We start from the raw sequence: 13585 nt of genomic DNA on the forward strand, positions 1-13585 counted from the left end.
ATCAAACTATAATTTCTCAATTATCTTTTCGATTTCTGCTTATATATTCTGTCCCTCTGAGCATCAATCTCCTACATTCTGTTTATGTACATCGGGCACTAGATTGAACTATTAAAGCAAAACTAGACAAAACACAAAAGACTTTACTCCTCCTACAGCCGTAATCCTTCCCCCTTCCCCGCAAAATCTACACTTTAGTCTCCATTTTTGCACCTCCCATTCCAACCTGACTTTATCTTTCACTCCACTGACTGCCCTTGTGTCTTCTGCCCTCGTAAAACAAACTTGTAAGTGACATTCACAAAGTTGATAACTTTTGCTTCTTGAAACATCTATTTCTGAAACATCTATAATACCAAGCTCTTAACTTTTCCTTTAATATCTCTGGCAATTTCTTTCAGCCTCTCTTGCTTTATTTTCCACCATTGAATTTGTAGGTGTTGGACTTCCCCAGGTCTTGATCCTGGACTGTATTCCCTTTTTCTTTTGACACACTGTCTCTTTTTAGTCTCATCTATTCCAAGAGCATCAACTATAATCTATAAAGATTCCCATATTTAAAACTTCAGCTCAATCTCTTCCATTACACTTTTAATAAAGTCCAAACACCTATACATGTTCCTGCATATTCTGACTCCTAGTACAAACCACACTCCCCTTCCCCCACACATCATAAATATATATATATATATATAATATATATATATATATATATACATCACACAATGATCCAGCAATCAATGGCTGAGTCCTTTCAATACATCAGATCTCAATTTAAATGCTGTCTCTCAGAGAGGCCTGCTCTAATAATCTTATCTATTTAAATAACTTCCCACCCCAACGCATTATATTCTATCATTGCCTTAAGTTTATTTTCTCCACTGCCCTTACTCAGAGTTGAACTTGTGGACATTTTGTCTTTATTCACTGTGTGCCTCCCTTGTCAAACTGTAAGCTCCATTAGGGCAGATCTTGTCTGTTTATCCACTTCTGTGTACTCAGCACCTAGTACAAAGCTTGGCATATAGTAGGCATTTTTTAAATATTTCCTTCAAGATGCATGCATGCATGAATGAATGAACACATTCATTTTTTTCTAGTAGCTTATTTCAGAAAAGCTATGTGGTTTTAATATCCTTCTTGTAATTTATAGTTCTATACAGATAATTCCTGAAAAAAAAATCCTATTGGAAAGTGTGATAATTAAATATGATTTTATACCATTATCAATAGTTATTTTGTCAAAATTATTTTCACAGTTAATAAGTTTATAAACATATAAGATGATGACAAATTTAACTCCTAAAAGTTTACAATTGTAACTATGAAAAGGCCAACCCAAGAGCAATGGGTCATCTTAGCTTTGGCCTGTTTCTCTTGTGTGTCTATATATTTTGCCCAGGTTATAATTGTTTTGTTATGAGACAAGTCAACTTGTTAATTGTTCAAATATTATAATCTAATCAAGTAGGTGAAACGTTATTTCTTCAAAAATATCACCTTGTGGTGGAAGAGAGAAAGAATATCCATGCTTCTTTTATCTACAGTGAAGGTGAAGAGCAACATAAACTTCAGGTAAGTGTGCCTTGTGAACACTTGGAATTGCCAAATTTGATCATATTGCTTAGTTGTGTCATCCTTTTCATCTTTTGGGGGAACTCAAAGATAGGTTTCATCACTATAAAGTGTAGGTGTTCAAAAACCATCTCTTATTGTATGAATTTTATCATCTTGGACATTCCTGAAAGTATCATTTTTATAGATACTATTGATAGCCTCTTTCAACTTCCATTTCACTCCACTTTCACTTGAGAAAATTGGAATGCATCTTACAGACTCACTTGCAGCCAGAGTTCTGGAGACATATCAAGTTCCACCAGACTGAAAGCAGAAATGGTTTGGCAGAGCAGATGAATGATTTGGCAAATGAAGATGTTAGTAATCTGCTGAGGCTTGCCTCAACATTTCCAGGATCTAGTCTTTGTGGTTGTGAGAAGACAGTGCTGGTGAACAAAGCAGTCTCCTAACCTGTTGATCTGCCCTGATGCTTAATAATCCAAATTTTGATTATTTGATTTCAGTTATTTTAGTCCTTCAATAACATTGTAGGTACTCAGTTCCCTGTATAGAATGTCTTCTAGCAGTGCCAACTACAGTGTTTAGTGTTTCTAGCACTGAAGTCTAATACAAACCTAGAGAGATGTTTTTAAAGTCTTTATTTCTTTTGTTGATTGCTTTTTTCATGGTATTTCTTCAAGTAAAAATGTACCTTATAACATTGCAAAAATACCAAGATGATTTTTTTTTAATTTTACATAATGTTTTTAATTGGCAGGTATTTATTTAATTTTTTGCCATGGATGATTTCAAATATACACTAAATAAAGGAGTGTTATAATTAACCCCAATATACCAATTGCTCAGTTTCAACCCCTATTAATTAATGGGTTGGCAATTTTGTATCATATAAAGCCCATCCACCTACAACTTCCCCAGAGATCACTGGCAAAGTGTGATTTACCAGTGTCATACGGTAGAAGCCCATTTATCACTGAATAGAGTTTAAGCCTTAGGTTTGTCATGTCGGCATAATAATACAATATAAGGGAATAAAATAAAATAATAATATAACATATAACATATAACTAAATGCATATATTTTATAATATAAATAATATTAACATTAACATAAATATAATAAAATATCACAATAACACTCATATATTAAATAAGCATGTAGGCATATCTTATGCCTTATAAATTTGCTATTTGGGGCTACAGTAGTGAGATCATATGCTCTGCCATGTTCCTCTACTTTAGGAAGAAATGACCTTTGTCCCCCAGCTCTTCAAGATTTCAGGTTATTCTCAATTTCTCTCATTATCTCTGTAAAATTTTACTACTTTCATAATAAGCTTGAAACCTGCTGTTTGTAAACCATATTGCTGTCACATGAAAATATAAAGAATTATTAAACCCTAAAAAGAAACGAGTTAAAAACTAGCACTAACTGAAACTCAATCTCTCTGTCTCTCTCTCTCTCTCTCTCTCTGACACAGACACACACAAACACAAACACACACACACACACATGCACACACTGTTTTGAGTATTTGGGGGTTGAGGGATTGTAAACAAATAAACTCTGCCTATCTTTTATCAGGAAGTTGAACTGATTTGGAAAAATCAATGGAATTTTGTGTAATCAAAAGTAAAAATGACAAGCATACAAACAGAAAACTGGCTCCAAGAAAGACAACACTAGCTGAATAGTCCTGCCTAGATGTGCTGAGCAATTACTCAGTTTGGTCTCTGCTTCGGTGGCTGAGCACTGTCCTTGTAGGAAGTGATATGGGCATAATCCGTTCTCTTGCCAGTGGTGCACAACCTCACTTTGACATGACTGCTGGGCTAATAACACAGGTCTCCCAGTGGCAGGGGAGTATCAGATTTTCCCATGAACCATTGCACATAAACAAGTTTCATCATTTCCCTCAAAAAGCTAAAACCAAGCCAAACACACATGCACACACACATACGCATGAGCACACACAAACACACACAAAACCATTGAGTTTTGCCAAAAACACGTTTTCAGATTTTGCATTTGCGTGCATATGAAAAATGCTTGAAAATTACAACTCAAAATTTTCTTCTGCAACTCTTTTAGTAAAATTGATGGCAAGGAAGAAGTATCTTGGTTTATCTTTACCCCTCAATCATGTAATTTTCACAAATCCACTGCTCTAAGCAAGCAGTTTCTCAGATTCATAGAGTCAGAACTGTTTTTCCCTTCTTATGATAAAATACATATTTCATCAGAAAATAAGAAAGTTTTAAAAGAAAATGAGTGAATATTTAATAGAACAATAGACTACAATAATACAGCCTTAATAATGGAAATTTGGATGCAAAGGAATGGGCAATCAACTCTTGGACACACAGAATGTCTGGCTGATCCTTCTTGCTCATTTCATGGGCCACATAATCATGCAATTCTTAATATTTTACATTTTTTCTACCCCATTTATAGCATGATGCCAGATATTTCTACGCATTTCTATTTGCTGCTTGCTAATCATAATCTTTATATAGTTGACATCCTATGTATGCTCTTCTTTTTAGGGTCCTCACCACCATCATTTTTTCCACATACATTATTACTACTTAGAAAAGGAAAGATTTTCACTAAAATGCCGTCTAACCCAGCCTGCCCTCCCCAGACGGTTCCCCACCCTGAAGTTTTCAATCTTCTTCGTTTAAGCTTACCTACCACCTCATGTTCTGGGGTACAATTTTTAGCTTACTATTACACAGGAAAGATCTGGAAATCTCATTTACTTTAAGTTCTTAATAGCTGAGAGGAATTAGGTTTTTACCCCATATACACAAGCCCTAGAAGATCTGCATTTTAATAGGGGACGATTCCTTCATAACTCAAAGGAATGGAATGGTTCTAATGGTAGAATTTTAAGCATCACTGACATCAGTGGAGGAAATCTTTCAGGTGAGAATGCTTATCACCAAACCATAATACTTGAGATGATTGTCTTTTCCATGTAAACTTAAGCCTAACCTGAATCGAAGCCAATATTCATGTTTGAACAAGAATAGAAACAGAACAAAATTTAAAGCAAAAATCGAAACTGTCAAATAGTTGAATAACCTTATTTCTTAATAGGGTGCATTATTCTTTCTCAGCTTCTTATCTTTGCAATGTGGTATTGTTATTACTATGTATCTCTTCTCAAGTTCATTGTATCTTGACCAAGGTGGTCCTCACCTTGATTAAACTTTAATAGGTTTCTTTCTGACCTTCAGCAGCTCCTAATCTCCCTTTTCTTAGAGCATTTACTTCAGAAAACTGGAAAACTTGTCACTGTAAATTCTTTCTCTACTTTATTGAGATACAGATTTTTTTTTTTTTTTTTTTTTTTTTTTGTAGGGGGATGAGGAGACAGGGTCTTCCTCTGCTACCCAGGCTGGAGTGCAGTAGTGCAATTATGGTGCTCACTACAGCCTCAACCTCCTGGGCTCAAGCAATGCTCCTGTCTTGGCCACTCTAGTAGCTGGGACATTTACAAGCCACTTTTCAGTTTCACAACCCATAAAGCCTTTCTCAAGGAACTGAGAGCCATCCCTTTGAAATGTAATCATCAAGAAAGATAGTGCCCCATCTCTAAGTTTCTGTGGAAGAGTAGGAGCCTAACTTCCTTGGACTCCTCGCTCCACATTGTGAAACTACTTCTTACCATGCAGATATAAGACTGAAAGTTTACGTTTTGAGGGGGAAAAGCCAATATGCAAAAACAGATGTCCTGTGATTCCCCATACCAGCCATTACAAACATTCCTGCGTTTTTTTGGGGGGGAATTGAGTTCAGACTCAATTCCAGTCTCTCTGTCCTATTGCAATAGCCTTGAATAAAGTCTTCTTTGCCTGTTTAACTTTGTCTAGTGCAAGTTTTGCTTTGACCTTCACGTCTTGGGTAGATATAAGTAACTGTGTGCAATTTGTGTATGTTGCATGAGGAGTCTTTCATGAAGCAAACATCCTGAACGTAATCCATCTAAGGAAACAAAGAAAGTGCAATACCTTTTTTTTCCACATCAATGGCAGTTTCCTTCTCACTTTTCTTTTTGATATCTTCTTTTTCTGCTGGTAAAATAAGAAAGTTATAAGCCTTTACCTGTTTAACTTGCAAATATTTCAGGGCATGCATGACTACCAGTGAGGCATCTAATTTATCTTGTATAGAGAAATCTTAAATCAGCCATAAGTCATGTCAAATATGAATAAGGTAGCACCTTCATAACAGACTAGTGGCTTAGGTATAATTTCTCTTCAGGAAACAGAACTTTTTTTTTTTTGCCAAAGGCAAAAATTATTTAATAACAGTGAAAACATTAAATGGCATTATTAATTATGGTATTATTTAACAGCTTTCCTAACATATATTGAAAAGAATATATTGAATGTTCTCTGAGCTATGAGGTCACCAGAACCATGTCAAAAGTTCTGAAATCTCTGAAGTTCACTTGGGACATCAGATAAATTATTTGAAAACAACCAATTAAAATATATATATATGTGTAAAACAAACCAATCAAGTATTTTCTGCCCTCTACATAAAATGACTTTTAAAATTAGACTGAATTAGTTAAATAGTAACCATCATATTCACATATATAGTTAAAGTAAAGTAGTGAATTAGAGAGAATTAAGCAGCTGCTCTTAAGAAAGAAAAAATAATCACAGTAGTAATTTTCAAAAAGTGTTTAGGATTGAATTCTCTTTTTAAAAATTGACAATTTTAATTTTATTTGGAATATCTAGACATGTTAAGAGTGTTCACTAATAACAATGACAATGCATTTATTAAGGGAATTTCTTTCCTAGAAAATAATAGATTTACCAGTAGTATTATGCATGGACACTAATTGATTTATGTGGTACATGGCTTTTAAATTTCCTACCTTTCTTTTTTGTTTCAGAAGTAACTTTCTTCTCAGCCTTCTTCTTTTCCCCTTCTTTTTCTAGAGAATACATTTAAAATATTTCCTTTAGGGAAATTTAGTATGAAAGCAAAACCAAGGTTGAAATGAAGGATTTTTGTTAAGTCAGTTCTGCCTCCAGCTAGCTTTGTGACTGAGCAAGTAATTTAATCCCACTAAGTCTTATTTTCCTCATTTATCAAATAATAATACCTCCCTCAAAGTTAATGTTTACAAAACACTGTGTAAAGTGCCTGGCTCACAGTAAATGTGTAACGTTGTAGACTGCTAATACTGTTTACAAATAATGAATGTGATAGTTTGAACTTTCTGAACCAAACAATTGTTTATCTAGTGCCTAAAAGTATTGATATATAAAATTAAAATATATTTCTTGGAAAATATACTGCAGATAAACTAGAAGAATTAATATTTGTTTTCTTTTATACATTTAATTTCATTAGAAATAATATATTAGACCATTAAAAAGGTATCTTTTGATGTAGCTGTTTTTCATATCTGGCTCTTGCCAACAGGCATTTAAGCCTGATGACAAGTGTCTGGCAGTGTGTTGGAAACATAACTTCCACGGTCCTTTCTGAGTGGTTGTATCAACAAAGCTGTTCAATCTTTGCACCCAGAGGTTGCAGTAAGTCTGGATGCCACATCAAACTGTTTGTGGTACTTCTAAACTTCGTGGAAGAGCCCTGTTTCATAAATCTGAGACAGCCTTGGTCTGAGGGAGCAAAGACAGAGAATTCACGTGCTGCCCAGGCATAGCCACATAGCAGGTGGACATCCCTGGACACTTTTCTGGTAAGCATAATCATTTTAGATAACAAAGTCCTGTACTAATACATAGTTGTTGAAATTGAATGTTCAGTGGTTTTAGATTTGGGACAATAATAGCTACGGTTAATGTTGTAAATGTACTGATTTTTATCTTCAATTAGCAGTGCTATTTACCTTATATTTGAAATTCCTTTCTCTTTGTCAGTTGTCTCTCATCTCAGGTACAGGTACATTCAAAGACTTCCGTTACCCAGAACTATTATAAGATCATTATTATGCTAAAGAAATTCAATATGTAGTTCTAGAATGAATCCTTAAGTTGTCTACTAATGACTGCATCTTATTAAATAGAGGAATTAACTCATTCCCATAGGTATAGAGCTTTTTTACCTACAAGATCAAAGACAACACTTTCTTTCAATGTTAGACATATAATTTATAAAGAACCCCTTTCATGATTTCTAGAGATAATCTAATGTCTCAGGGAAAAATGTATTCACACTTTGTCTAAAAGTGTCTACAGCATACTATTACAGCTCATCCAATCAGAAGTAGAAAGTCAAGAAGTCAAATTTTGATAGTTTCAGAGATAGAAATAAACCAATTGATTTCCACTTCTTCTTTTCTAAAGGTTTATGCATATTAAACATGTAGATCATATTTAAAATTCTGAATGAAGATACTTTCAAGTATCACTACTTTCAGCTTCTCTGGGAGAAATTTTATGTAGTAGTGAATTTTACATCTTCTCTAAATAAATGTATATGCCAGACAATTGAATAGCCATTTGCTAAGCATCACCTCTGATGTCATGTATCAGCAAAGGGGTTAATTAAAATACAAATGACTTGTAAATATTTCTAAGCTCAAGCTAAACACTAATGCCATACTAACCATAAGATCAGAACTCAGTATCCAAGTCTCCAAGTTTCATAAGGTTGATGAATAAATATTTCATTAAAAAGCTTGTGCCAATTAGTCAATCTTACACCGAACTTCACAAAGAAAGTAGATATTTGAACCCAGAATATGGAAGGCATTCATTTATTTTTCAATTTTCTTTTAGACAATGCTCTTGTGCAACAAATTCTACCCTTCAAATTAATATAGCTGGAATTTTATTGTGGTGATACAGTATTCTTGTCTTCGTCCAAATTGAATTAATGCTCCTATTATACACTCTGCTTGTGATTACAGTCATACACTGTGAGAGTCATGAATAAGAGCAGAAGTCCACAAAATGCAGATTAATGTCCTTTAATAACATTTTTATGAATTAGACCTTTAAGCTGTCATTATGAGACTTACTTTATTCATGCTGAATTTCATTTAAAATGTCAACTTCTCAAGATTCTACATTTCCTCAAGCACTATTGTCTCTGTTATATAGGTGATTTGGTAGCAATGGAATTAAATTTTTCACTTATAAAAACATAACAATTTGATTATATCCTACTTGGATATAAAAATAACCCATGTTTCTTTTATGAAAACTTCCTTGCCCCTGACTTTTTCTTCCTCAACAGCCAAGAGTACTCTTCCCTTTCTGTCTACCTGACTTTGAACACACATAAAAAATTTCCTCTTCCATCTCTTTCTCATTGGTTTGCCATTTTGTTTGTAACAGCTAGAGAAGAATTAGAGCATTTAAGCCCATTGATGTTCAGAAGATTAAAAATTAAATGTATCTACAGGATGTGAAAGTATCAGAATATTACCTTTCCCTGACAAAAGTATAATAAGCCCTGAAATGATGGCTGTATTCTGGCAGGGATCACAGAAGAGTGTGGTTGGGAAAGAAATCTTCCCTACAATGAGCAGCTCTGAGCCACAAATATGTTATTAGCTTCTGCATAAATTAACATCAGATGAAAGAAAAATTAAACGACTTACTTCTTACTTTCTAAGCCCTCACAATGGGCTTTTCTCTTGCTTTTAAATGTTTTTTATGCCATCTCAAAGCCAGACAATACACAATATTTAATTACAATTGCAAAGCTTTCTAAGATGCTGTTTCCACGAGGAAACAAATGCAAAATGTTTTATTTTTGTCTTATGTTTTGTTCCTCCCCTCTTTGCCCTTCTAGTGTAGAGATTATCCTAATTCTGTGTATCAGATGAGTGCTTTTATTCTAACACTGTGGCCAGAACTGATGTATTCCTGGTTCCAGTTAAGTAAATAAGAACTTGTTTCTTTAATAACAATGCATTCCAACATACCTCATCACTGTCACCTTGTTTTCTTAGAGTGGCAGAGATTGGCCTGGAACCCAGCTCACAATATGACCATGGAAAATTTTACATAAGCTGAAGATAAGTTCAATTACACGAGTGATTATTAGAGTTGTCCCATTGTTATCTACAGAGGGGTGTGGAGCACGAGAGAAAGCACAGGTGCTGGCACTGATGACCTTGGGCTGAATTCTGTCCATGACTCTTCCTAGTTGTGTGACCTTGGGCAATGTGCTATGGCACACCGAATTTCATTTTCCTCATTTGAAAAGTGGAGCTAATAAAATCTACCTCACGCTTGTAATCCCAGCACTTTGGGAGGCCGAGGCGGGCGGATCACGAGGTCAGGGGATCGAGACCATCCTGGCTAACACGGTGAAACCCCGTCTCTACTAAAAATACAAAAAAAAATTAGCCGGGCGTGATGGTGGGCGCCTGTAGTCCCAGCTACTCGGGAGGCTGAGGCAGGAGAATGGCGTGAACCCTGGAGGCGGAGCTTGCAGTGAGCCGAGATTGCGCCACTGCACTCCCGCCTGGGCCACAGAGCGAGACTCCGTCTCAAAAAAAAAAAAAAAAGAAAAAAAAAAAAAGTCTACCTTGCTTACTTGTGAGAAATGGAGATAACTGGGCTAAAATGCCTGGAACAGAGTAGATGTAGAAAAATAATGATAATAATGACAAGCTATTACTATATTTTACAAATAATAAAAATCTGACCACATATAATCTTTTTAGGTAATTTTTTAGGTGTGACATTTACTGATCTCTTTGAGTAAATGCAACTTTATTCTTATTTTTCTATATCCAGGGAGGGTATGTCTAGAATATTTTGTATTAAGAAACTAAAGGGAAAAAAATACCCATAAGCAAGACAGAAACATGTTATGAAGGGTACTGTACTGCAATGAAGTGGATTCAAGTCTCAATTTTGCTATAATTAGTAGTCATTACCTTATGCAACTATAGATGAATGTTGTATCTTCTGTCTTCAACCATAAAAGGCAGAGAAATGAGTAGAATGTGTTTGAGTCCCCTTTCACCTGTTTATTCCTTATTTACCAAGTGAAATATGCATCATCTTGCATTTATTTTCTAATTTTCCTGGGAATGGGTAACCTAAAAAGAGTTGCAAATATCGATGGCATGTTGTCTGGTTTTGATATGGCTTAAAATTGTTTAAAGCAAGAGAAAAGTCCATTTTAGAGGCTTAAAATGAATATGTATGTATATAATATATATATACATATACATATTATATATATTTTTTTGGACAAGTGATGATAAAGATTAGGAAAAAAAAAAAGAAAGCTTTGTTTTGAAAATTAAAGCCTGAGACCATAGGAGGTGGCTTGGTTTTTAAAAGGTGGATCAGGGTAAACCTTTCTGAATGGGCAATTGGAAAGATTATTGAAAAAAGTGGAAGAGCTTTGGGCTATTAGGGAGAAGACTTTTCAGCAGAGGAAAAATACCTGCAGAGATCCTGAAATGACAGCAGGCTAGATAAATTCAAAGAAGAGCCAGGCCTGGCTGGGCACGGTGGCTCACACCTGTAATCTCAGCACTTTGGGAGGCTGAGGCAGGTGGATCACGAGGTCAGGAGATCGAGACCATCCTGGCTAACAAGGGGAAATCCCGTCACGACTAAAAATACAAAAAATTAGCCAGGGGTCAAACGTTTAAGTCTTTAATCCATCTTGAATTGATTTTTGTATAAGGTGTAAGGAAGGCATCTAGTTTCAGCTTTCTACATATGGCTAGCCAGTTTTCCCAGCACCATTTATTAAATAGGGAATCCTTTCCCCATTGCTTGTTTTTCTCAGGTTTGTCAAAGATCAGATAGTTATAGATATGCGGCGTTATTTCTGAGGGCTCTGTTCTGTTCTATTGATCTATATCTCTGTTTTGGTACCAGTACCATGCTGTTTTGGTTACTGTAGCCTTGTAGTATAGTTTGAAGTCAGGTAGTGTGATGCCTCCAGCTTTGTTCTTTTGGCTTAGGATTGACTTGGCGATGTAGGCTCTTTTTTGGTCCCATATGAACTTTAAAGTAGTTTTTTCCAATTCTGTGAAGAAAGTCATTGGTAGCTTGATGGGGATGGCATTGAATCTGTAAATTACCTTGGGCAGTATGGCCATTTTCATGATATTGATTCTTCCTGCCCATGAGCATGGAATGTTCTTCCATTTGTTTGTATCCTCTTTTATTTCATTGAGCAGTGGTTTGTAGTTCTCCTTGAAGAGGTCCTTCACATCCCTTGTAAGTTGGATTCCTAGGTATTTTATTCTCTTTGAAGCAATTGTGAATGGGAGTTCACTCATGATTTGGCTCTCTGTTTGTCTGTTGTTGGTGTATAAGAATGCTTGTGATTTTTGTACATTGATTTTGTATCCTGAGACTTTGCTGAAGTTGCTTATCAGCTTAAGGAGATTTTGGGCTGAGACAATGGGGTTTTCTAGATATACAATCATGTCGTCTGCAAAGAGGGACAATTTGACTTCCTCTTTTCCTAATTGAATACCATTTATTTCCTTCTCCTGCCTAATTGCCCTGGCCAGAACTTCCAACACTATGTTGAATAGGAGTGGTGAGAGAGGGCATCCCTGTCTTGTGCCAGTTTTCAAAGGGAATGCTTCCAGTTTTTGCCCATTCAGTATGATATTGGCTGTGGGTTTGTCATAGATAGCTCTTATTATTTTGAAATACGGCCCATCAATACCTAATTTATTGAGAGTTTTTAGCAAGAAGGGTTGTTGAATTTGTCAAAGGCCTTTTCTGCATCTATTGAGATAATTATGTGGTTTTTGTCTTTGGCTCTGTTTATATGCTGGATTACATTTATTGATTTGCGTATGTTGAACCAGCCTTGCATTCCAGGGATGAAGCCCACTTGATCATGGTGGATAAGCTTTTTGATGTGCTGATGGATTTGTTTTGCCAGTATTTTATTGAGGATTTTTCCATCAATGTTCATCAAGGATATTGGTCTAAAATTCTCTTTTTTGGTTGTGTCTCTGCCAGGCTTTGGTATCAGAATGATGCTGGCCTCATAAAATGAGTTGGGGAGGATTCCCTCTTTTTCTATTGATTGGAATAGTTTCAGAAGGAATGGTACCAGTTCCTCCTTGTACCTCTGGTAGAATTTGGCTGTGAATCCATCTGGTCCTGGACTCTTTTTGGTTGGTAAGCTATTGATTACTGCCACAATTTCAGATCCTGTTATTGGTCTATTCAGAGATTCAACTTCTTCCTGGTTTAGTCTTGGGAGAGTGTATGTTAGACCTAAAACCATAAAAACCCTAGAAGAAAACCTAGGCATTACCATTCAGGACATAGGCATGGGCAAGGACTTCATGTCTAAAACACCAAAAGCAATGGCAACAAAAGACAAAATTGACAAATGGGATCTAATTAAACTAAAGAGCTTCTGCACAGCAAAAGAAACTACCATCAGAGTGAACAGGCAACTACAAAATGGGAGAAAATTTTCGCAACCTACTCATCTGACAAAGGGCTAATATCCAGAATCTACAATGAACTCAAACAAATTTACAAGAAAAAAACAAACAACCCCATCAAAAAGTGGGCAAAGGACATGAACAGACACTTCTCAAAAGAAGACATTTATGCAGCCAAAAAACACATGAAAAAATGCTCACCATCACTGGCCATCAGAGAAATGCAAATCAAAACCACAATGAGATACCATCTCACACCAGTTAGAATGGCAATCATTAAAAAGTCAGGAAACAACAGGTGCTGGAGAGGATGTGGAGAAATAGGAACACTTTTACACTGTTGGTGGGACTGTAAACTAGTTCAACCATTGTGGAAGTCAGTGTGGCGATTCCTCAGGGATCTAGAACTAGAAATACCATTTGACCCAGCCATCCCATTACTGGATATATACCCAAAGGACTATAAATCATGCTGCTATAAAGACACATGCACACGTATGTTTATTGCGGCATTATTCACGATAGCAAAGACTTGGAACCAACCCAAATGTCCAACAATGATAGACCGGATTAAGAAAATGTGGCACATATACTCCATGGAATACTATGAA

General features: G+C 35.7%; 1 protein-coding gene and 1 long non-coding RNA gene across 4 annotated transcripts in view; one reads left to right on the forward strand and one right to left on the reverse strand.

Annotated features, from left to right (window-relative positions):
* Positions 1-13585, reverse strand: part of TRDN (triadin) — a 420612-nt gene that overhangs the window by 216129 nt on the left and 190898 nt on the right. For 2 of the 3 annotated variants that reach the window (NM_001407315.1, NM_001251987.2), the window contains 2 exons: positions 6477-6536; positions 5596-5658 (listed from right to left, as the gene is read on the reverse strand). In NM_001407315.1, coding sequence (NP_001394244.1) covers positions 5596-5658; positions 6477-6536 — 123 coding nt within the window. The remainder of the gene's footprint in view (positions 1-5595; positions 5659-6476; positions 6537-13585) is intronic. The other variant, NM_006073.4, reaches the window with a different exon arrangement.
* TRDN-AS1 (TRDN antisense RNA 1) overlaps positions 7137-13585 on the forward strand; it is a 32153-nt gene continuing 25704 nt past the window's right edge. Inside the window, exon 1 of the long non-coding RNA NR_110844.1 lies at positions 7137-7310. This is a non-coding gene — a long non-coding RNA (TRDN antisense RNA 1). The remainder of the gene's footprint in view (positions 7311-13585) is intronic.

This window comes from Homo sapiens, chromosome 6 (assembly GCF_000001405.40).
Source record: "Homo sapiens chromosome 6, GRCh38.p14 Primary Assembly".
Taxonomy (NCBI): Eukaryota; Metazoa; Chordata; class Mammalia; order Primates; family Hominidae; genus Homo; species Homo sapiens.